The 21,293-nt window shown below is 55.6% G+C and overlaps 1 long non-coding RNA gene across 2 annotated transcripts, besides 5 other annotated features; it reads right to left on the bottom strand.

The window, feature by feature from the left end:
* Positions 1,374 to 1,423: a silencer, noted in NCBI's record as "silent region_13019". NCBI's record gives its function as "represses an Ori minimal core promoter by ATAC-STARR-seq in GM12878 lymphoblastoid cells {active_cell/tissue: GM12878}" and the evidence as "EXISTENCE:reporter gene assay evidence [ECO:0000049][PMID:35858748]".
* On the bottom strand, positions 7,502 to 19,812 carry PELATON (plaque enriched lncRNA in atherosclerotic and inflammatory bowel macrophage regulation). Of its 2 annotated transcripts, none has more exons than NR_170991.1 (4): positions 19,627 to 19,812; positions 11,555 to 11,644; positions 9,677 to 9,799; positions 7,502 to 9,113 (listed from the first exon to the last, which is right to left on the bottom strand). It is a non-coding gene; the product is annotated as a plaque enriched lncRNA in atherosclerotic and inflammatory bowel macrophage regulation (long non-coding RNA). The 2 variants fall into 2 exon arrangements; NR_170992.1 differs by having other exon boundaries at positions 11,555 to 11,639.
* Positions 7,984 to 8,278: an enhancer, noted in NCBI's record as "tiled region #10045; K562 Activating DNase unmatched - State 5:Enh". NCBI's record gives its function as "activates a minimal TATA promoter and a strong SV40 promoter by Sharpr-MPRA in K562 cells {active_cell/tissue: K562}" and the evidence as "EXISTENCE:reporter gene assay evidence [ECO:0000049][PMID:27701403]".
* Positions 9,281 to 9,818: an enhancer, noted in NCBI's record as "H3K27ac-H3K4me1 hESC enhancer chr20:48894009-48894546 (GRCh37/hg19 assembly coordinates)". NCBI's record gives its function as "activates a minimal SCP1, AML or CMV promoter by ChIP-STARR-seq in primed H9 embryonic stem cells {active_cell/tissue: H9 hESC(primed)}" and the evidence as "EXISTENCE:reporter gene assay evidence [ECO:0000049][PMID:30033119]".
* Positions 11,663 to 12,162: an enhancer, noted in NCBI's record as "H3K4me1 hESC enhancer chr20:48891665-48892164 (GRCh37/hg19 assembly coordinates)". NCBI's record gives its function as "activates a minimal SCP1, AML or CMV promoter by ChIP-STARR-seq in primed H9 embryonic stem cells {active_cell/tissue: H9 hESC(primed)}" and the evidence as "EXISTENCE:reporter gene assay evidence [ECO:0000049][PMID:30033119]".
* Positions 12,163 to 12,664: an enhancer, noted in NCBI's record as "H3K4me1 hESC enhancer chr20:48891163-48891664 (GRCh37/hg19 assembly coordinates)". NCBI's record gives its function as "activates a minimal SCP1, AML or CMV promoter by ChIP-STARR-seq in primed H9 embryonic stem cells {active_cell/tissue: H9 hESC(primed)}" and the evidence as "EXISTENCE:reporter gene assay evidence [ECO:0000049][PMID:30033119]".
* Positions 19,813 to 21,293: the final 1,481 nt, after the last annotated feature.

Here is a 21,293-nt window from a genome sequence, read left to right as displayed (position 1 = left end):
TTGCAGTGAGCCGAGATTGTGCCACTGCACTCCAGCCTGGGCAACAGAGCAAGACTCTGTCTTAAAAAAAAAAAAAAGAATGACCTTAGAGAGATTTGACTAGGTCACTGTCTTGCCACGTGGGGGATAAAAATTGTGAAAATAAATTGATTTTCTCTTTGACCTAACACAATTATCATATAATTGCTGTGGTGCACACAGATTCTTAGAATGAACACACTAAAGCAAGCGTGGATACATTTAAACATATTTAAACCAAATTGCATGACTGCACAATGCAGTGTTCTTTTCATTGTACTTGACATTCCTGACATAATCACGGGGAGGGTCATTTCTGCAAAATGATTCCATCTGCACTGTGGCCACCGCTGAGCCCTGGTCACTGCCCCCAGAACTGGCCCACTGCAGCTTCTGGAAAAATAGCCGGGCTGCAGCCCCACCCACCCCAGAACGGAGTCCTAAGCAATCAGCCCCCAACATTTCCAACTTCTGATTCATAAATCTGGCATGGCTGCATGTGATTGGTGGGCCCTGGTCACATGTCCATACCCAAGCTTTGGAGGAGCAGCCCTCAGCCCCCTGGCTGGGGACCTGGCTTCCTCCTCCGCCCCCACTCCTTGGCCCCACACCTGGCTCCTACCGCCCAGCGCACATCCCTGGAGGCGTCGGCCTCGCGTCTTCGGTTTTTAAATGACCAAAGAAGTATCGTGCCCCATTTTAGAAATGAATGATAAGACAGGCAGGATATGTGTTATGACTTTTAACAACTAAGGGGCTAATTTCCCCCACTACGAAGGCGGTCTCAAACAAGACAGACCCTCCATGGAAGAGAAAGCATAGAAACAAAAGTGAATTGGGAACAACTAGGCGCCTTGGGAAGGCGAACATGGATGAAGCAGATGTCATCTCTTCTGAGCTGCGAACAGGAGACACACCGAGGTTCAGAGAATGAGAGTGACTGAGATGAGGAGGAAGAAGGAGAGAGTTTCAGGCAGAGGGGACTGCTCAGGCAGAAGGGTGGAAGGACTGAGAACACGGCTGCCGCAGCTAGAATTGGAACCTTCTAGACCAGAGGTGGCCCACGGGGCCACAGATATCCACAGAGTCAGGTTTTGTTTATTTGTTTTTAATTTGACTCGTTGGCCAACATTTAAAAATCAGGACTTTTCACATACAATCTCAGACTTCTGGCTTCTCTTACTAAATGGGAAGATCCGGGCCGCCTGCTGGCTCAGAGGCCACCGTCCCCTGAGGAGAGCCTGTTCTCTCCAGTTCACCGGAGCCAGCACCAGGCCACCTTACTCATCCTTTCACCTTCTGGCCCAGAGGTGCCTGGGTTTTGGTTCCCTGTTCTAAAGCCTGCTAAGGAGGATGCTGGGGAAATCAGAAAGCTCGAACAATTCTCTCAAGGCTGTCCAGCAACAGAGCTGCAGCCCGGGACTCGGGATACCCAGTCCTGCTGGGGACACCAAGTCCCTCCCCACAGAAGCTCCACAGACCCCACCTCAGTCTCCAGGAGCTGCTGACCCTGGCCCGGAGTCCCGGGGGACCAGGAGGCCGGGCTGGGGAAGGCCCCGTCCTGTTTAGGTTTTTGTGGTCTCGTGAGTAACCGAGTGGAAAAAAACAAGCTTGAAAAGATAACAATTACAACGAAATTAAATCAAATCAGACCCGTGACTCATTTATGGAGCCGTAAAAACAGAAAACAAAAACAAGCTGGTTCTGGAGAAGTGAGGCCAGGGTGAGGAAGGGAGAAGTCGGGGAAGGGAAAAAAATAAAGCAACAGCAGCTATGGCCCTGGGACTGTAAATTATCCCAGCAAGGAGGGAACCATGCGGGCCCTGGAGGGGCTGGGCCTTGGGGGTTCCGGAGCCAGGAGTCCCAGGACCCCGTGGGAGAGGCCAGAGACCCCACCTGCCTGCAGGATGGCTGACCTTGTCCCCCCAAACACCTCCGTGAGTTGGGTACCATTAGGGTGCCATTTTGCAGACAAGGAAGCTGAGCCTCAGAGGGACCAAGTGACAAACCTCGATCACACAGCCAGGAAGTAAGAGGACTGAGATTCAAACCTGGCTCCAAAGCCTGTAACGGGGTTCAGTTTTGTCATCTAGAAAACAGGCACCTGAGCTCAGCTCTGTTCCAAAAACAACAAAGAAGCCAGAGTCCTGGAAGCTTCCCTGGATGTTTTGGGAGCCCCGAAGCCTGACATCGGACATGGCTGCCCCTCTCTAGGTCTCACTGTCCCCATTTGTTCACTAATGGGGTCACATCAGGCAATGCCTAAGGAAGGCCCCAGCGGGTCTGACCCAGGGGAGCTTCAAAGCCTGTTTCCCAGAAGCCTCTGCCCCCGGGAGATGTAAGAGGAGCTGGAGGCAGAGCCAGAGGGAGCCAGCCGTGCAGGCCCACGATTCCCTCAGAGGTCGTCCTGACCCAGGGAGGAGACTGTGCAGGCAGCAGGAAGCTGGCCAGGCAGAGAAAGCACGGGCGCCGGGCTGATGAGGGTGGGATTGGATGGGGCTAGAAATCGGGAGCCAAAGCTAACACCACCACACGGCATTGGGTTTCAGGTGCTTACTAAGGGTCGGGCGTGGAGCTAAGCACTTTCCATTCATTCATTCATTCATTCATTCATTCATTTATTCTGCAACTATGGACTGAGCACTTTCTTGTACGAGGTGCTTTGTTGGGATCTGGGGACACAGTGATGACCAAGAGAGACAAAGATGGAGCTGCCACCCAGGAGCGGGTAGACAAAACAAGCAGGAACCATGATGAGTCAGGTAGCACTGAGAGATGCAGGGAGGAATTCAGTAAGGAGGGAGTGTCAGGGGCAGGAAAGGCCTCATGAGCTGCGACGTTTGAGCAGAGACTTGAAGGAGGTGCAAGGGCCGGCCCAAGCAAAGGGAAGGGCGCAGGTGGAGGCCCTGGGTGGGGCATGCCCGGTGCATTTGAGGACCAGCCAGAGGGCCAGCATGGCGGGGGCAGAGTCAATCCCTCCAACAGCCAGGGGAGCAGGCACTATATTACCTCCTCTTACAGAAGAGGAAAAGAGGCTCAGAGAGGGGAAGTGACTTGCCCAGAGTCACACAGCCCGGAAGTGGCAGTGTGAGGAGCAGTCACTCCTCGCAGTCAGGATGTGCCGGGGTGCATCCATGCCATCGGTGGCCCTGTGTGTGTGACGAGGCTGCACGGCCCAAGGGTGGCTCCCAGAAAGCGTGTGTCACCTGCCTTGGTCACAGCTGTGGGTGGTATGATTGTGCAATCCAGCACCCTGCAGGGAGCCAGGGGCCGGGACAGAGGCTGGGCCGGGACTTGACACAGCCCTGACTCCACCCCAGGCTCAGCCCTGCCATCACTCTGCCTCCCAAGCCCCATGGGGTCTAGGGGCTACCAGACAGCCAAGAATCCAGGGAGCTCACTCACACTGAGGTGCAAGTGACTGCTAGAAGCCCCTGGTTTGTCCCTATCCCTGGGCTGACCCTTTCAGCAGGTCACAGCAGCAGCTTTGGAGACTCAGTTTCCCCCTCTGTCAGATGACAGGTCCACTTAGTGGGTCTCCAACAGCAGTTGCAGGTTCTTGGGTCCAGAGAGAGCTCCCTGAAGTCACACAACCAGTGGCTGACGGAGTCAGGGTGACCCTGGCCTGCTCACTCCTGCCTGGAGGATGCCTCCCCCTGAAGCTCAGCCACCCAGGCTCCACCACTCTCCCCTCACCCACCCTCTTGCTGCCCACACGTCCAGGCCCTGGCCCACACTGTCCACTCTCCTGGGAGTGCCTTTCCCCTCCCCCTATGAAAAAAGAACACGGGATGGTCAGGGGCGTAGAGGGAGAGATTGTCGAGCAGGCAGAGGCTACTTAAGCCAGGGGAAGGGTCAGAGAAGGTGGCTGTCGAGAGTGGCATCCGAGCTCAGACCTGAAGGAGGTGAGGGAGCCGTGGACATCCATGGTGGACAAGGGCTCCAGGGACCTGCAAAGACCTTGAGGTGGAAAGACCCAGGGCTTCTTGAGGAACAGCAGGAAGCTATCAGGGCTGGAAGGGAGTACGCGAGGGAGAGAGGCAGCGAGGTCATCAGACAAGTGGAGGGTTTGCTGGGGGGCCAGGGTCGCACCCGGCCTCACGGGCCACAGGGAGCTTTCACTCAGAGAGCTGGGATCCCTGGGAGGGTCTGTGCTGGAAGGTATAGGTCCCTTCTGACAGGTCCCTCTGGTCGTGTGTGGAGAACAGACTGTGAGGGGCTGAGGGAGAAAAGGAAGCCAGGAGGAAGTGACTGCACCAGTCCAGGCGGTGGTGCTGGTGGCCGTGGCCGAAGCGGGGGCCGTGGAGGTGGGGAGACGAGGGCAGACTCCGGGTCTACCTTGAAGGTGGAGTCGACAGGATGTGATGAGCGATCAGATGTGGGAGCAAGTGAGAAGAAGAAGGCAGGGGAGACTCCCAGGTTTGGGGGACCACCTGGAGGATGCAGGAGCCATCAGTAGAGGCAGGACTGGCTTCGGGGGGCAGATCAGGAATGGAGTCCTGGCCAACCTGGGTTTGAGGCTTCTCCTGGTCATCCCAGCAGGGACAGAGACAGGTGGGTGGAGACCCCTGAGTCTAGGCTCAGGGGAGGCCTTGGGGAGGTGCCCTTGGAAGTCGCCAGCATTTAGATGAGGACGAGAACTGTCTTTGGTGTCTGTGTCCCCCTTCTTCCCTCTCATGCTAGCAGCAGGTCCAACCTGGGGAGGAGCTCCAGGGTATCCTAGGGACCCAGGAATAAGTCCATGAGCGTGTGTGACAAATGCCCACCATGGTTCAGGGCCATGCCAAGCGCTTTGCCCACTTGATGCCTTTCATTCTCACGACACCCTGAAGGGGTAGGGACCACCCCAGTCCCGTTTTACAGAGCCAAGAGGTGAAATGATTTACGCAAGTGTCACCCAGCAGTATGGGAAGGCTGCTCTACGGGAGGGTCAGGGAGCGGCACACAAGGCCATCAGGGAAGGCACTGCAGTGCTCAGCAGCGCCGGATCACAACGCCCGCCCCCTGGCTGGGGGACACCCCAGGTTCCTGAGTCTCCCACATCGCCTCCTCCAGGCAGCAGGCAGGATTACCTCTTGGTGATTCTGGGGCCTCCAGAAAAGGGCTGAGGGCAAACCGGGAGCTCCCCAAGGTCAGCAGGGAGGAGGCTGGGGAGGAGCTTGGGGGGAACCTGGGTGTTTTGAGGGCCAGGCAACGTCTCAAGCCAGGTACCTGCAGGCCTCCAGCATGAGGGAGGAAGGGACAAAGACTCCAGGGCATGCTTGGCGGGCAGTGAGATCCCCTCCCCCACTTCCGTGGAGCTCTAGAAAGCATCTCCCTGCCCAGGGTGTTCTCCCACCGATGGCTCGAGGCCATCTTTCATCCCAACGGTGGTGTGTGGCCGGCCGTGGGGTCTCCTGCAATTACCTGGAGGAATCCGCCTTCAAGCAAGCTGAAGTTCACAGCGGGAGCATGATGCACACCACTTGTTCAGCAACTGTTCATGAAGCACCTGCTAGTGGCAGACCTCTCAGCTAAGGTCACCAGAAGGAAGAGGCTTTGGCAAGGTCCAAATTGACCTGAAAATAGGACTCTTTCCATTGACCTGACCTTCAAACAGCATTCCTTCCTCTGCGGGATTCAAATTATCCACTTATGATCCATGCAGGATAGGGAAAGGGAACAGGAGTTGGCAGCTCCCCATGGGGCAGAAGAGGAGGAATAAGACCCAGATATTACGTATGGAGACCCAACCTTGTGGCAGACACTGCGCTCGGACCTCAGTTCCTAATCCATAAAATCAAGCTTATGACATGTCCTTCCTCCAGGGTTGTAATGGGCTAATCCAGGGATTAGCAAACTTTACTGTAAATGTCCAGAGAGTTCATATGTTCAGCTTTGTGGGTTTTAAGGTCTCTCTCACAACTGCTCAACATTGCAGTTGTAGGGTAAAGGCAGCTGTGGACAATATGTAAATGAATGGGCATACTGTGTGCCAATAAAACTTTATTTATAAAAACAGGCTGTGAACCAGATTTGGCCTGGAGGCTGTAGTTTGCTGAACCCTGAGTTAATGGATACAAAACAAAGCACCTGGTGCATAGCAGGTGCTTAATAACGTTTGAGGAATGAGTGAGTGAAATGATCGGGCCTCTTTAACTCTCGCTTTCCCCATCTGCTAGAAGAAATCATTACACTGAGTTATCATCTATTGAGTGCTTTCCAGGCCACACAGGGCTTCAGGAAGCCCAGCACAGCCCTCTCATCGTTCCTCCTCATAAAACCCTGAGATCGGGCTCTCAGTGGTCCCATTTTACAGGAACAAAGGCTAAGGGCCCAAGGCCACATGGCTGGAATGTGGCAAAGCTGGGATTGGAACCCAGGTCTCCAAGACCAGACCTCAGGCTCTCTGAACTGCCTGGCGTTCCAAGGCTATCCCTGGAGTGTGGAGCCGAGACTGGAATGCTGTCCCTGGCTGCAGGGTCTGGCTTCAGATTCCCAGCTCAACCCCAGATGTCAATCCCCTCGTGGGCCCCAACTCCAGGACCCAAGCCAGGGGTCTCTGCCTGCATCCCCTCCTGGGCAGTGGGTCAGATACACAAGGAAGAGAGAAAGAGGTATAGACGAAGACAGGGACTGAGAAATACAAGGAGACAGAAAGAGGCAGAAACAGAGAGACACAGAGAGAGACAGAACTCAAGAGGGACAAACTCATCTCCCATGCCTCCCTCCCTCCTGGGGGCCTTGGACCCTCCTTGCCAGCACCCCTGACCCATTCCCACCATCACCATTGACTCCCTCCAGGAAAAGATTGATCCACTGCCCCCCACCCCACATGGTCCTGGGCTGGAATCCCAGCCCAGATGCTGACCTCTGTGTGACATCAGACAGGTGACTCTCCCTCTCTGGGCTCAGTCTCTCCATCTGTGAAATGAGAACGCCAACCAGGGCAGTTTTATTGGCTGCTTGATGAGAGGGGGGCCTGGGCCTGACACCAACAAGCACCTAAGAGCCCTGGGCTGGGGGCAGGAGGTGAGCTCAGGGCTCCTCTCCCCGGAGAGGTCACTATTCATTTATTGGTTCTTTTAAGAAACATTTATTAAGCACCGACTGTGTGCCAGGCATTGCACTAGGTGCATAAGGTAGACAAAAGTCCCTGTCCTGAAGGAGCTAATGTTCTACTGGGGAGATAGGCAAGAACCAACAAGCAAATTCATACGAAATGTGCCAGGTGGAGAGAAGGCAACCAGTGGGGTAGTGGGGGTCGATAAATCCAGGCAAGTTGAGGGGAGGAAGTAAGGGTGTAGGGTGTAGGGTGGCCAGTGCAGGGAAGCTCCTTCGAATTCTTGTCATTTCTCCAGAGGCCATGACAGTTTTTATATTTAAGCCAGCTGCTGATGGTGGGGGACTCATTATCGATGCTCCCTGAGTTTCCGGCTCCCTGCAGGGCACTCTCATCAATTTCATCACATTGAATCTCCTCTGCAACCCCAGAAGACAGGTACTCATTTTCATTTTTATTTATTATTAGTATTGTTATTTTTAGAGATGGGGCCTCAATCTATCACCCAGGCTGATGTGCAGGGGCATAATCATAGCTCACTGCAGCCTCAAACTCCTGGGCTCAAGCAATCCTCCCGCCTCAGCCTCTAGAATAGCTGGGACTACAGGCACACACCACCACACCCGGCTAATTTTTTTAGAATTTTGTAGAGACAGGGGTCTCACTATGTTGCCCAGGGCTGATCTCAAACTCCTGGTCTCAAGCAATTCTCTCGCCTCGGCTTCCCAAAGCGCTGGGGTTACAGGCATGAGTCACCACACATGGCCAGAGACAGGTACTCTTATTGTCCCCATTTCCCAGATGAAGAAACTGAGACCCAGAGAGATGAAGTGACTTGCCCAAGGTCACATTGCTGGAAAGGGGCAGAGCCAGGATTCAAATGGGGCCAAACAGGGATATAATCCAAGGTGAGATGGGCCGATACGATACCAGGGCAGGGGCTTGAAGGGGAGACAATCAAGCAGGGAACAGGGCTTATGCCAGAGCCCTCAGCAGCCAACAGGTTAAGGGCCCGGGAATCTGGGTCTCTGGCCCCAGATAGGGTGACAGCCACACCCAGGCTCAGCCTCTGGCCCGCGCCGCCTGCTGGGAACACACAGTCCTCAGGACTAAGAGGCTCAAAATAGAAAGTGCAGGACCTGGGTCGAAGCCTGGAATGCCCCAGGCAGGCAGACCATGACTCCTGGAAGGGCCCAAGGCTGCAGGGCTGGGGCTGGCGGGGCGAGAGTCACTGGTATCCACTTGTTAGAGCCTGCGTCTCATCTTTGTTATTCTCCTGATGCAGTTTCCAAGACGCCAACTCCAGGATGTGACCAACCCGGGCTCCTCTCCTGGCCTAATCTCAGACCAGCTGTGTGGCCTTGGGCTGGTCACCTACCCCAGAGGACCTCAGTGTCCTTATCTGCCATCGGCTCATAGAGTTGTTCATTCAGGCAGTCAGCCAATGTGTGTCGAGCACTTACCATCTGCCAGGCACTGGGATGGCACTGGGGGCACACAGAGAACACAACAGACAAAAATCCCTGCCCTCATGACTAGGTAGAAAGACCCTACCTTGCTCAGAAGGAAGTCGGGGGGGTGGTCAGGGATGGCTTCCCATGTGGGCACCCGAAGGAGTTGTGGGAGGGAGCCCTGTGGATGCCTAGGAGAAGTGTTCCAGGCAGAGGAAACAGCCAGTGCAAAGGGCCCGGGGCAGTGTGGGCCTCAGGCTGTTTCAGGAGCAAGGAGGAAGCCAGCATGGCTGGAGGGTGAGTGAGGAGGAAGGCTGGGAGAGGAGACAGAGGGAGGTCAGAGAGGAGGCCCCGAGAGCCAAGGAAGGAATCCGAGGGTTTATTCTCCAAGCAACAGAGATCCCTTAGAGAGGACTTTGCTGTGGACTGATGTGGGCTGGCCCACAGTTTTAATAGCTCCCTCTGGCTGAGTGTGGAGAGGGGATTTCTGGAAGACCAGGGAAGAGACTTCTGTGCCAGCAGAGATGAGCAGCAGTGGTGGCAGTGGAGGCAGAAGGAAGGGCTTGGGTCGGGGGTCTGTTTGCAGGAGCTGCTGGGAGGACCTGCCGAGGGAGAGAAGGGAAGAGGGCATGGGTGGGGGTTGAACAGAGACCCCCTCCACCCTCCAGGCCTCAAGGAGCCCCACAGGAAGTGGGTGGTCAGGCGGCCCAGCTGGGAAGGCTGACTGGTTTGTCCAGCCTGAAGCCCACGACCCTCTCCCCACCCTCTGCCCATGGCAGCCCAGGGCTAGAAATGTACCTGGAATGTCAGCCATGAAGCCCGGCCAGACAGTGCCCATGGGACCTGCTGGGGGCCAGGTGAGCACCCTGGCCACAGCCCTGCCTACAAGGGTAATCTCTCGGACCCATTGACCAGGGTAAGTGGTAATTACAGGCCCTGGAGCAGAGAGGGTGGTGACCTCCAGCCAAGACACGCAGGGACTGCGATTCGCACGCAGGACCCCTAACGAGGCACACCCTCTTTGTTGCTGAACAGGCAACAAACTGCCCCAGAGACCAGGGCGTGTCAGCAGAAAGAGCACTGGGCTATGAGTCTGAGACCCCCAGGGCCTTCTCTGAACCTTAGCCCCCTCATCTGCCAAAGAAATACTTATCCATGCACGCACGCTTGCATTGCTTCCCAAGTGTTTACTGGGCACTTGTCCTGGACAGGCGCTGTGCTGGGGGCTGGGTGTACAGCAGTGAACAAAACACACAAAAATCCCCACCTGGGCGATGGTGACATTCCACTGGAAAGAGACAGACAAGAAACAGGATATACCAGCAGGTTAATTTCTAGGATACGTGCTAAGTCCTAGGAAGAAATAAAAACAGCATGAGGCCATAGGAATGAGGGGCTGGTCAGAGAAGGTGTCCCCAGGGGTGACTTTGGAGCAGAGGCCTGACCCTAGACAAGGATCCGCCATGGGGAGAGCTGGCGAGAGTGTCCTCTGTTCCAGAGGGAAGAGTGGGTGCGAAGTCAATGAGGCAGCAGCAGGATAATTGGCAAGTTTATGGCAGAGAGATGAGGCCACCGTGGCTGTGGGTGAACAGAGAAGGGAGAGGCAGTGAGGTCAGGCGGGGCCAGGGCAGAGATCCTGCAGGCCCTGTGGGCTTCTGCTCTGAGTGAGTTGGGAGCCATAGAGGGTTCTGAGCAGAGAAGGGATAGGATCTAACTTGAGCTCTTACAGAATTCCTCTGGCTTAGGAAGGCGAGAGAGGAGGCAGGGAGACCAATGAGGAGACGACTGCAAACATCCTAGCTGGACCAGGGCAGGGCAGGGTAGTGGGGGTGGACCCTTGGACATGTGGATGAGTTTGCTGATGGGCTGACCATGGGAACAAGAGGGAGAACCCAGGTTGGGGGCCTGGGCAGCCAGGTGGCTGAGGTTGCCATCGCTGTAGCAGGGAAACTGCAGGTTTGTGGTGGGGGTAGACAGAGCTCCCTCTGAGCATGAGGCCCCACCCAGAGTAAAAGAAGGACTCCCAGTCCACACACCCCTGCCTCAAGCACAGATCAGTGAAGGGATTCTGTGGACAGGTGGCCCTGGAAGCTGTGATCTGCAGGGGCGAGGTGCCTGCTGTCTACCTGGTGAAAGTCCTACCAATGCAGCTCTTGAGGCTGCCCAGTCTCACACCCCAGGGAGCAAACTTGGCACCTGTTCTTTGCCCTACCCTGAACATCCGCTGGGCTCCCGGGGTTGGTCCCGATGTTCATTTGGAATCTCAGGGGTGATGGGTGGGGAAGGTGGAAAAACGCTGTACCTCTTTCCCACCCATCCCTGTCCCCCGTCAGCCAAACAGGGCTGAGGACTCGCGATCATTCTTCCTCTGCGCCCCTGTCCCCATACCTCTCAGAGACAGCGTGACTTGTGGCCTCTGCAGCCAGGAACGTGCTCTGGTCCCGTCATCTCACACTGCCCCATCCCCCTCATAGTCACTTGGTTTTCTGCACGTAAGTTCCCTTTTCATAGATGGAGGAACTGAGGTTCCGAGAGGTGGGGCAGGCTCCCAAGTTCACACTCAGGTTAAGTGGCAGGGGCGGGATTCACACTCAGGTCCATCTGATTCCAAAGCTCTTAAGCCCTGAGCATTATAGCTGCTGGCTTAGGTCGGCTCCCAGAAGCTGACCCAAGACAAGGTTTTGGGTGCAAGTGGGATATTTGGGAGGTGATTCTAGAAACACTGGGAAGGAGTGAGGAAGTGACACAAGGAAGGTAGATGAGCAGGTCTCCTCAGTGGGCAACAGGAGCCCAACCCCCTAGAGGCCTCTGGGACAACTCGCAGAAAGTACCTTCCCACTGTCCCCTGAGCCAGAAGCAAGGAAGCTGAGTGGGGGGACAAACAGACCCCACCTCTACTGGCAGGGGTCTCTCACTTGCTTCCCACACTCTTGTGGCCAGAGGAAGCCCTTGGGCAAGAGATTCAGGATAGCAGCTGCAAGGGCGACCTCCCAGGTGGGCACCAACAGCTTCTGAGCCCCCCAACTTCCAGGACAGCACTCACCCCAGAGAACAGGATGATGTTCAGTAGGATGTGACTGTGCTGCGTGACCTTGGCAAGTAGCTTCATCTCTCAGAGCCTCAGTTTTCTACTCTGAAGAAAGGAATCATTAAAAAAAAACAAAAAAAAAACTGTTTCACAAGGGTTGCCGGGGATTCGATGGGACATGAGGTAAAGGTCTGAGAATCACACGTGGCACATAGGAGGTGCGTTTTATGTATTTGTGGTTAAATGAGAGCATGCCTGGTGCATAGAAGCCACTCCACTATAACAGCTATTATCATTATTATTATAGTTTTGTTGTTGTTGTTGTTTAGGACCTCTCCAAGACTGCGCAAGCCTAGGTCTGCTCTGTGGGGACAAGATGGTGGCTGGACAACCTCCCCAGTTTCCTGGGTCCCACAGCCTCTTGCTTAAGGCTGCCTGAACTTTGGGGAAACAGAGGAGGAGGAGAAGGAGGAGGAAGGGGCGGAGGCTTAGGCCAGGCCTGCTAGAGGTAACCGCGGGCAGTGACCCCGCCTGAGAGGCCCCCATTCACCCGTCCACCCATCGCCAGAGCTGCCTGCCCATTCCACACAGGGGACGCCTCGTCTTGCACAACACAGGAAGGAGGAGGCCTGGGTGGCGGTGGGTGACGCCGGGACCCCGTGTCCACCCGGCTGCAGACAGGATGGGCAAGGGAGGCCCCGCCAGGCTTCCTGTGTGCCGAGCACACTGGGCAGAAAGGAGAAGTGGGGTCCAAGGTCACTGGGAGCTCTGGGCAGCACCTTCCCCTCCCTGGCCCAACTGTTCCGCCTGTTCTCCCTGACTCAGGCACCCAGGGTTCAAACCCCACCAGCTCGGCCATGTACCAGCTGCATGACTCTGGAACACGCAGCTCTCAGGGCCTCTGTGTCAGTCACTGCCAGGGTGCGGGGAAGCCCTCTGGGGGCTTGTCATCATCATCCCCATTTCACAGATAAGGAAACCAAGGCCATGGGGTATTTTCTCTCTCTCTTTTTCTCCTTTTTTTTTTTTTAAGACAGATGGGGGGTCTTGCCCTGTTGCCCAGGCTGGAGTGGAGTGGCACAGTCATAGCCCACTTCAGCCTCAATCTCCTGGGCTCAAGCAATTCTCCCACCTCAGCCTCTCAAGTAACTGGGACTACAGGCGTGCACCACTACACTCAGCTAGTTCTTTTTTTTTCCCCTCTAGAGATGGGTTCTCACTCTGTTGCCCAGCCTGGTCTGGAACTCCCGGCCTCAAGCGATCCTCCCACCTCGGCCCACCATCATAAGGTATTTTCAAACAGCATTTGTTATACTTGAAGATTTAGAGGTACAACAGGGGAGTGCAGACCTGAGGACCTACTGGGTGCCGCAGACACACCTATGAGGCCAGCGTGGCCCCTATCCTCCATCCTGGGTCCACAGCAGGCATCACTAATCAATAATGAGTCTCCTTCCTAGTATCATAGATGCAGCCTCAGAGCCCTGCTCAACACAGCTCTTCGGCCACAGTCTCCATCCGAGCACCCAAGGCCTGAGTCAGTGGGGAAGGTAGATCTGCCTGCTCCATCCAACAACAAACTGGACCAGAGGAAAAATCTGCCCAAGAGCGAGGCTGCCCTCTGGCAAGCTACCTTGGGGTACTTCCCTCGAACTTGTCTCCCCCAGCTGGCTGGGAGTCTCAGGCTCGCTTCCTTGGATGCAAACTTGATCTGGAAAAGGCAGCTCAGAGGAAGCATCTGCCGGCTCCCAGGCAGCCAGCAGGGCTGGAGCAGGGGGTGCTGGAGCAGAGGCAGAATTAGGAGATCAGCAGGGCCCAGGCAGACCTGGGGCAGGAGGTGGTGGGAAACAGTGACAGAGGAACTGGAGCTGGGCCTGTTCCTGGAGAGGAAGGGTCCAGGACAGGGCAGGGAACCAGCTGGGACTCGGAGAGGCCAGATTGCCAGCAGGTTGTGGGCCCCACCGGCAGTGCCAGGGAAAGTCCAGTGACCCAGAGTGCCCGGGGCCGGGGGGGATTGTGTAAAAGGAAAAATGAAACTGAATGCAGAGCCCTGGGCCTCCCGCCAGGCCTGGCCATCTCTCCCCACATTCACTGGCATCGCCCCCGTCCAAGTTGCCATCCTCGCTCGCCTGGACATCTGCGGCCATCTCCGGCTGGGTGTCCCTGCTTCACACAGCCAGAGGGATCTGAAATGGGATCCCGCCCAAGTCTCTTCCCTGCTTTGACCCTCCAGTGACTGCCCATCCCATTGGAGATGTGATTCAGAGCCCACCCCTGGCCCCGAGCCCTGGATGTATGGCCCCAGCCTGGTCTCCACCACCCTCTCCTGCTTCTCTCCCCTACATTCATGCCCCGCCAGCAACACTATTTCCTTCCTGTCCCTTAAATCTATCAACCTCATTCCCCACTCCGGGCCTATGCCTTTGCTGTGCTGCCTGTGACACCTTCCCCCATATTTTCCTTTGGTGGCTGCATCTCAGTGAGGTCTCAATAAATACCCTCCCTCCAGAACCCCCAACCCCAACCTACCCCAGACTCCTTCCCTGTCACCCTCCACCATATGCCTCTGGCATGTGTTTGTAGTATCTGTGTCTGGAAGTGTCTGCTTATTTGTTTACTTGTCTTTCTCACCAGAACATCAGCTCCACGAGGGTAAGGGTAATGTCCACCCTGGTCACTGCTGTATCCCCAATGCCTGGCACAGTACTGGACACAAAGTAGGTGCTCAATAAATATTTGTTGAAAGAGACTGAGAGGAAGCTGCTTAAATCAGCTAGAAGATTCTCACTGAGACCTTCCAAGTCCCCACGTGCCATCCCTCCCTGGGGATGACAGGCTGTTCCCCACCATATGTCAGTCTCTGAGTGGTGCACGGTGTTGGAGAGAATTCTGGTTGCAGCAGGAAAGATGATCAATTAGTGATGTCTGCCACAAACCAGGAAAGGCAGGGCAGCTCCAAAGAGATGTGGGCTCCAAAGGTGACGGGGGCATTTTTGTCTTGTTTGTTCATTGCTCCACAGTACCAGGACAATGCCTGAAATCTAATAGGTGCTCAATAAATATTTGTGGAATGTCATATACATGGGTTCCTTATCTAATTGGCTACTCCTTTCAGGGAGAAAAACACTTTTAGCTTATTCAACCAACAACTGCTGGCTAGCCATTCAGTGAGGACCCACTGTGTGCTAATCTGAGAACATTCCAGAGAGACTGATCCTCCATTTACAGAATAGGAAGCCAAGGTCTTCTTGGGACTTGATGGAGGTCACCAGCTGGGTTCAGCTGACCCCAGAGTTCTGTAAGAACCCAGACTCGAGGCCTGGGGTGGGAGGGTGAGGCCTCCCCAGACTCCTGCTCCCCACCCCTGGGCATCCCCAGCCCCCTCCCTAGGGCACGGAGGGGTGAGGACAGGCGGCTGCTGCTTCCCTTTTGGGGCATGTCACAGGGCTGTGGTTAAACGGAAGCAGGGCCCCTGCCCATCCCGAATGCAGGCCCCCGAGGGCCCCACCCTCCCCATTCCCTGCCCAGACTCTTCCCAGCTGACCAGGGGCATCAGTTCCCCGTTCCTCTTTTCTCTGAGCAGAAGGAAGTGGGTGGGGCCATGAGAACATCTCACAGACTCAGTTTCCCCATCTGACAAGTGGGTTCAACCCCTGGCACCTGCAGGTGTTGGTCTGTGGGTGGGGGTTCAGTGAGATAAATCATGAAAGACGAAGAGACAGTGATTGTTATACCCAGACCAGGAAGGCAGAGGTGGGCGGAAGTGCCAGGTGACCCTGTCTCCTATCCCACTGAGGATCGAGTCCAGATGACCACCCCTGGCCCCAAGCCCTGGAGTATTCAGGAAGAAGCTGGTGCTGCTGGCTCAGATCCTCCCAAGAACCCCTCTGCCTTTGGCATAGAGACTGGGCTGCTTTCACTGGGAGCCTGTCCAGCCCCCACCTCACCTTCCTCTCCACATCTGCCCCTCACTGCGAACTGTCCGCCACGTGGAGCTGCGAGCCTATTAGCCTCTCCTACTCTGCTCCATTTCACAGCAGGGCCCTTGCATGTGCTGTGTCCACTTGCTGGAATATTCGTTCCTCCCTTTCTCATCTGCCTGGCCTCTACTCACCCTTCAGTTCCCAGCTCAGCTTCTAGGAAGCTTTCCCGAACACCCTAACCACATCAACCTCCTTCCCCCTTTACTGACCCTCAGATCACCTTGTACTTGTCACAGCCACAAATTGACATTTTGAAGGGTGTTCATGTCCCCCACCGGCCTGGGAGCTTCTTGTAGGCAGGGATCATTGTCACCCCCAGCTCAGTGGGTGCTTCATTGTGTGTTGAATGAATGAATGAATGAATGAATGTTGAAGAATGAACGAAGGGGACAGGCAAGTCACTTCCCCCAGACAACCTCACCAGACACATCCTGCTCGAGCCTTTGGGTCCTGCCCTGCCCAGACTCCCTTCTCCAGGCTGGCTGTTTCTGCCACGACATTTCTGGTCCTCAAAATGCCCCCTCCCTCATCTCTCGCCTCACTTTCCCAGATGGAGACCAAAGGGACAGACCTCGATCGTGGGCTTTCAAACTGGGTTCCACTGAGCCTGGTGGTATTCTAAGGACAGACCCTCGGGTCACCTGGAGAAGTGGTAAAGGTGGGGGGCCCCCACTCCTTATACCTACCAGGACAGCATCCCCTTGATCTTTTTTGTATTCAGGGCGGCCACCGCGCAGGCGCTTTAACTAACGAGAATTCACCTGCACACACTCAGCAAAAAGAACAAATACAGCCTTGGAGAGAGAAGAGCCAATTGCCAGGTGGCTGTATCGGGAGAGCGAGATGTGGGCTGGTGGATCCCCCCAGGCCGAGTCTGCTGGGTGCGATTCCAGCTTTAACGCAGACCTGTTGCTACGATGTGGTCCTTGAACGCAGGCCACAGGGTGGCCCCATGAGACCCAGCTGAAGCGGCCATGGGATTACGCAGGCGGAATCTATGGAGAGACCGTACATCCGCCTCGGTTGGAGGGGCCACGTCCTTCCTGCGGAATCCCCAAGGGGAAGTTGGCCGTGGTGGATTGCCACCTTGCCAGACAGCTCGGGTGCTTGCGCCTGAGTGAGGCAGGCCATCGCTTGGGGTCCTCTGTTTGAACAATAGGCACCACAGCTCAGGAAAAGGGGAAACAAAAACAATAACCATCGGACAAGATACCCCCAAAGGGAACACCGAGCATGGACCAAAAGTTCCTAAATTCCATTCCTTGCAACTGTCTCCTTCCAGACTCCTGGAGGTTCTGTGATACGGAAAGAAGGTTCCAGGCTCCAGTGCCCATTGCTCTGGGCATGATGGAGGCTCGGAGCTGCTCTCCCCACCACTGGGACACCCACCGTCATCCAGGCAGTGATCCTGGAAGAGGAAAGGTGGTGACCTCAGCCCAGGGGTCACCTTGGGACCCAGACACCATCCCTATGGACTGCATCTGTGGGAGGACCCACGGAGCCCGGCGCCAGCTGCTGCGTTCTGCGCACTGCCCTGTGCTGGCCCCATGCTGAATAAGACACAGTCCCCACTTGCCGAAGCTGACCTTTGGCAGGTGTGGTAGGGGTGGGCAGGGCTACTTTCAGGGATGGTCTGGGAGGCCTCTCTGAGGTGCACAGGCCCGAGTGAGGGGATGGGGCTGATCATGGAAAGATCCAGAAAAAGAGCACCCAGGAGAGGTGGGGCAAAGCTCTATGTGTTCTAGCAGGAGGAGGGAGGTCACTGCGGGCAGGGAAGAGGGGAGGGGAGGTGGGGAGGGGGAAGGCCATGCAGGGCTGTCCTTGGGACCAGAGCAGGGACTGTCTTTCTCTCTGAGGGAGGTAGGAGTAGGGTTTGGAGTGAGGCAATGGTGTGACCTGACTTGGGTTCCAACAGGAGCCCTCTGGCTGAGTGTGGAGGGCTGTGTGGGGTGGGTGGGGAGTCCAGGGCGGAGATTCTGCCCAGGCAGGCGAGCAATGACCAGACAGAGGAGGGAAGACTTGTCGAGTTCTGGATTCAGTCCACAGGCAGAGCCGATGGAATTTGCTGAGGATTGAATGTTGGGGTTAGAGAGAGAGGAGTTAAGGACAACTCTGGGGTCTGAGGCCTGGCCCACTGGGTGGGTGGCAGTGCTGTCTTCTCAGCTGGGAAAGACATCCATGTCTCCCAGTGGGGTGCGCCCCTGGGACACCCATGGACAGACTGACAGAGCCCGCATAAAGGCACGAGGGACCCCGCACAGCTGAGCTCACGGGGCAAGGGTCAGATGAAGGCAGGAGAGGGGTCGTTTTCAAGGCCCAAGGAGGAACGGGCAGGGAAGTAAGAGGAGAACCAGCGAGACCAGCAAGCCGCCATCAAGAGGCTGGGGAAGACTGTGCTCAAGGAGGGGGCAGTTACCCAGGGGGCAGACGCTGCCAAGAGGACCAGCCAGAGAAGGCCGAGCAAACCCAGGCCCACTGTGCCACTTAGGCCGTCAGTGAGACTCCAGCTGGTGGCCAGCCCAGCCGTGCCCCCATCACCTTCGGAGCCCACATCTCTTTGGAGCAGCCAGACAGGCTGAACCCTAATTGGCCTGAGTCAGCCACGGGAATTCCTTTCTGGTTCAAATGTGGACATGTGAGCCCATCATTCCATGAGACACCAGGGGACATCCACTGGGACATGTAAGAAAAATTGTTGGCTGGGCACGGTGGCTCACGCCTGTAATCCTAGCACTTTTGGGAGGCTGAGGTGGGTGGATCACCTGAAGTCAGGAGTTTGAGACCAGCCTGGCCAACATGGTGAAAATTCATCTCTACTAAAAATACAAAAAATTAGCTGGGAGTGGTGGCCCACGCCTGTAATCCCAGCTATGTGGGAGGCTGAGGTAGGAGAATCGCTTGAACCCAGGAGGCGGAGGTTGCAGTAAGCCGAGATCGTGCCATTGCACTCCAGCCTGGGCAACAGAGCAAGACTCTGTCTCAAAAAAAAAAAAAAAAAAAAAAGTGAGATCCTGGAGGAGAAAGTCCCCTTTTCTGTTCATCTCTTCCTAGTTAGGATGTGATCATGTGGGACGTGATGTCTTGAGCCACAGCAGGCACTGGGGCCCATGAAGAAAGAGAAGTGAAGAGATGCCTACCTAGAGCGCAGGGAGCCTGCCCTGGAACACTGGAATGGCCCCACGTTAGACTTCATGTTATAAGATTTAATTAATATTTTTACTGTTGCAGTCATAGAAGATGGCCTAATTGGGGCAAGAGGAAACATAGGAATGAACCTGAGACAGGGGAGAAAATGGAGAGAGGAGGGATGAGAGCTGGAAGGGGGTCAGAAACACCCAAGCACGGGGTTCAGATGCACAGCAGGCTCCCTAAGTGTGAGTTGCTGTTTCTGCAAACAGGAGTTGTTCCCTGAGCACCTACTCTCTACCAGGTACATTTCCAAGCCCTGGGTGTCCATCAAGTCCTTTAATCCTCCCAGCAGTGCCAGGGAGGCTTCATCTGCTCCCCACATCTCTGCTTCCCCCGCCCCATGTTCAGATTCTAAAAAACCAAAAGGGCTCCCTCTAATTCATCTCGCCCCCAGAGAGCACTGACTCCCCACGGTGTCCCACTGAGCCCCACTGAGTCCAGTCCACCTCAACTTTCCTGCCTCTGGGAACAGGGTACCCACCCTCTGAGGGCCCCACTTCCCAAAGTTCTTTGTCCTGGCACAGCAGGTGCTGAGTAGCTCCCTGGACCTCTGTTTCCGCATCTGTAAAAAGCCACTAATCCTAATTGCACCTCCTAGGCTGATTGTGATGACCCAGGAAGGACCCTTGACCCAGTGTCTGGCCTGTAGTAGGGCTCGGTAAGCGTGAAATCTGATTATTGCCCATTATATTTATGGTTATACACAGGGCTGGCCCTGCCTCCTGCTGGAGCCGTGGGTCTGTCCAGGTTGAGAAGCTGAGGTGCTTGGAGCGTCCCCAGATCCCAAACAGGGAGCTGGAGTAGGAGGCGGGAGCATGAAGTCTCCTGGGCCCCGCCCGCCACCTCGCCCTGCCGCCCCTGCTCAGCAGCCGCCCCGCCCTGCCACCTTGGTCTCTGAGAACCCATTGTTCCTACCTGGCTCTGCTCCAGGGTCCTGGCCTTGCCACTTTCCTCTAGGATCCCCCGCCACCCCCGGGGCTTGGGCCTCCCCGCGGGGTCCTAAATTGGGTGCCAGATGTGGCAGCTGTCCAGCAATGGGAACAGGAGCTGGAACCCCAGCTCTGCCACATCCCAGCTGTGTGACCTTGGGCGCTTCCCCTCTCTGAGCCTCAGCTTCCTTGTTGGTTAAATGGGATGACGGGACCTCACAGGGCTGTCATGAGGGTTTCGTGAGCCCAGGATGGCAGAGTGCCCAGCATGTGGTAGGGCTCGGGAACATTCATCCTAATTTCTCTGCTCCTCACGGGCCTAGAGGAAGAGCCAGGAACATCAGAGGCAGTGGCCAGAGTGGGTAGAGCACTGGAAGGGGAGTCTAAGGCCAGGGTCCCGGCTCCAACCCTGCTGTGTGACCTCGGGCAGGCTGTGGGTATCTCTGGGCCCCAGAATGAGGGAAAGAAGTAGCTGGGATCCTCCTTCCTCCCCAGGAAGCAAAGCAGAGGGGTGGTGCCAAGTTTTCTTTTCATTTTTTTTATTTTCAGCACAAAGGGCTCAAATGGAAAGCAGCTGCAGAGACAGAGAATCCGATTGTGAAGGCACCCGAGACTCCAGGCAGGCGGAAGAGGCAGCGTCTTGGGTGCTGGGCTGGGTAACAGAGGCCAGGGTATTGACCAGAAACTCCAACAAGCAGGGGACAGCTTGGGGGGTGGGGGGTTGTCTCCCACCCCTTCTTCAGGGTGCTGGCCTAGGAGACAGGGACCCCGCCTCGGGCATCTCCTGCTTAACCTCAGTTTCTGTGTCCAGACATGGGCAGGCCATCCTGACTCTCTTAGCCTTGGTTTCCATCTCCAAAATGTGTCCAGTAGTGGCACCTTCCTTCTAGGGAGGGGTTGTGTGGTTAAGGTCTCGGGGCGGGCTCCTCAGTCAAACAGGCTTGGCTTTGATCCTGCCTCTGCCTCTCACTAACTGTGTGACCTGGAGTAAGCCACCTCCCCTCCCTGTGCCTTGATTTTCCCATCTGTGAAATGGAAACAATAATAGAACTAATCTGCTGGGGAGATGAACTGAGAAGACTCAGCCTGGTGCCTGGAGCAGAGTAAAGACTAATGATTATTGTTGTCTTTCTTTTTGGAGGCAGAGTCTCACTGTGTTGCCCAGCCTGGAGTGCAGTGGCAGTGGCGCGATCTCGGCTCACTACAAGCTCCACCTCCCAGGTTCAATCATTGACCCTCCAGCCTCAGCCTCCCGAGAAGCTAGGACTATAGGCTCACACCACCAGGCCCAGCTAATTTTTTGTATTTTTAGTAGAGACCAGGTTTCACCATGTTGACCAGGCTGGTCTTGAACTCCTGGCCTGAAGTGATCTGCCTGCCTTAGCCTCCCAAATTGCTGGGATTCCAGGTGTGAGTCACCGCGTCCAGGCATCTTTCTTATTATTATTATCCCAGGAGCTCCACCTGCTAAGGCCCCAGCCTCAGAAAGCCTCCCTTCCCCTGAGTGCTGGTTCATCTCAACAATTTCCTCACATATTTCTTGAGCAGCAACTATACCGGTCTTGGCAAAGCCAAGGTTCTATCTAGGAGAAGAAAGACATTAAATGAAGGACCCGTGTGTGAAGGGCTTGGTGAGTAGCAGGGGCTCATTGA

Source organism: Homo sapiens, chromosome 20 (genome assembly GCF_000001405.40).
Source record: "Homo sapiens chromosome 20, GRCh38.p14 Primary Assembly".
Classification (NCBI taxonomy): domain Eukaryota; kingdom Metazoa; phylum Chordata; class Mammalia; order Primates; family Hominidae; genus Homo; species Homo sapiens.
Note: the sequence above shows the minus strand (reverse complement) of the source record. Positions and strands in the feature narration are given on the sequence as shown.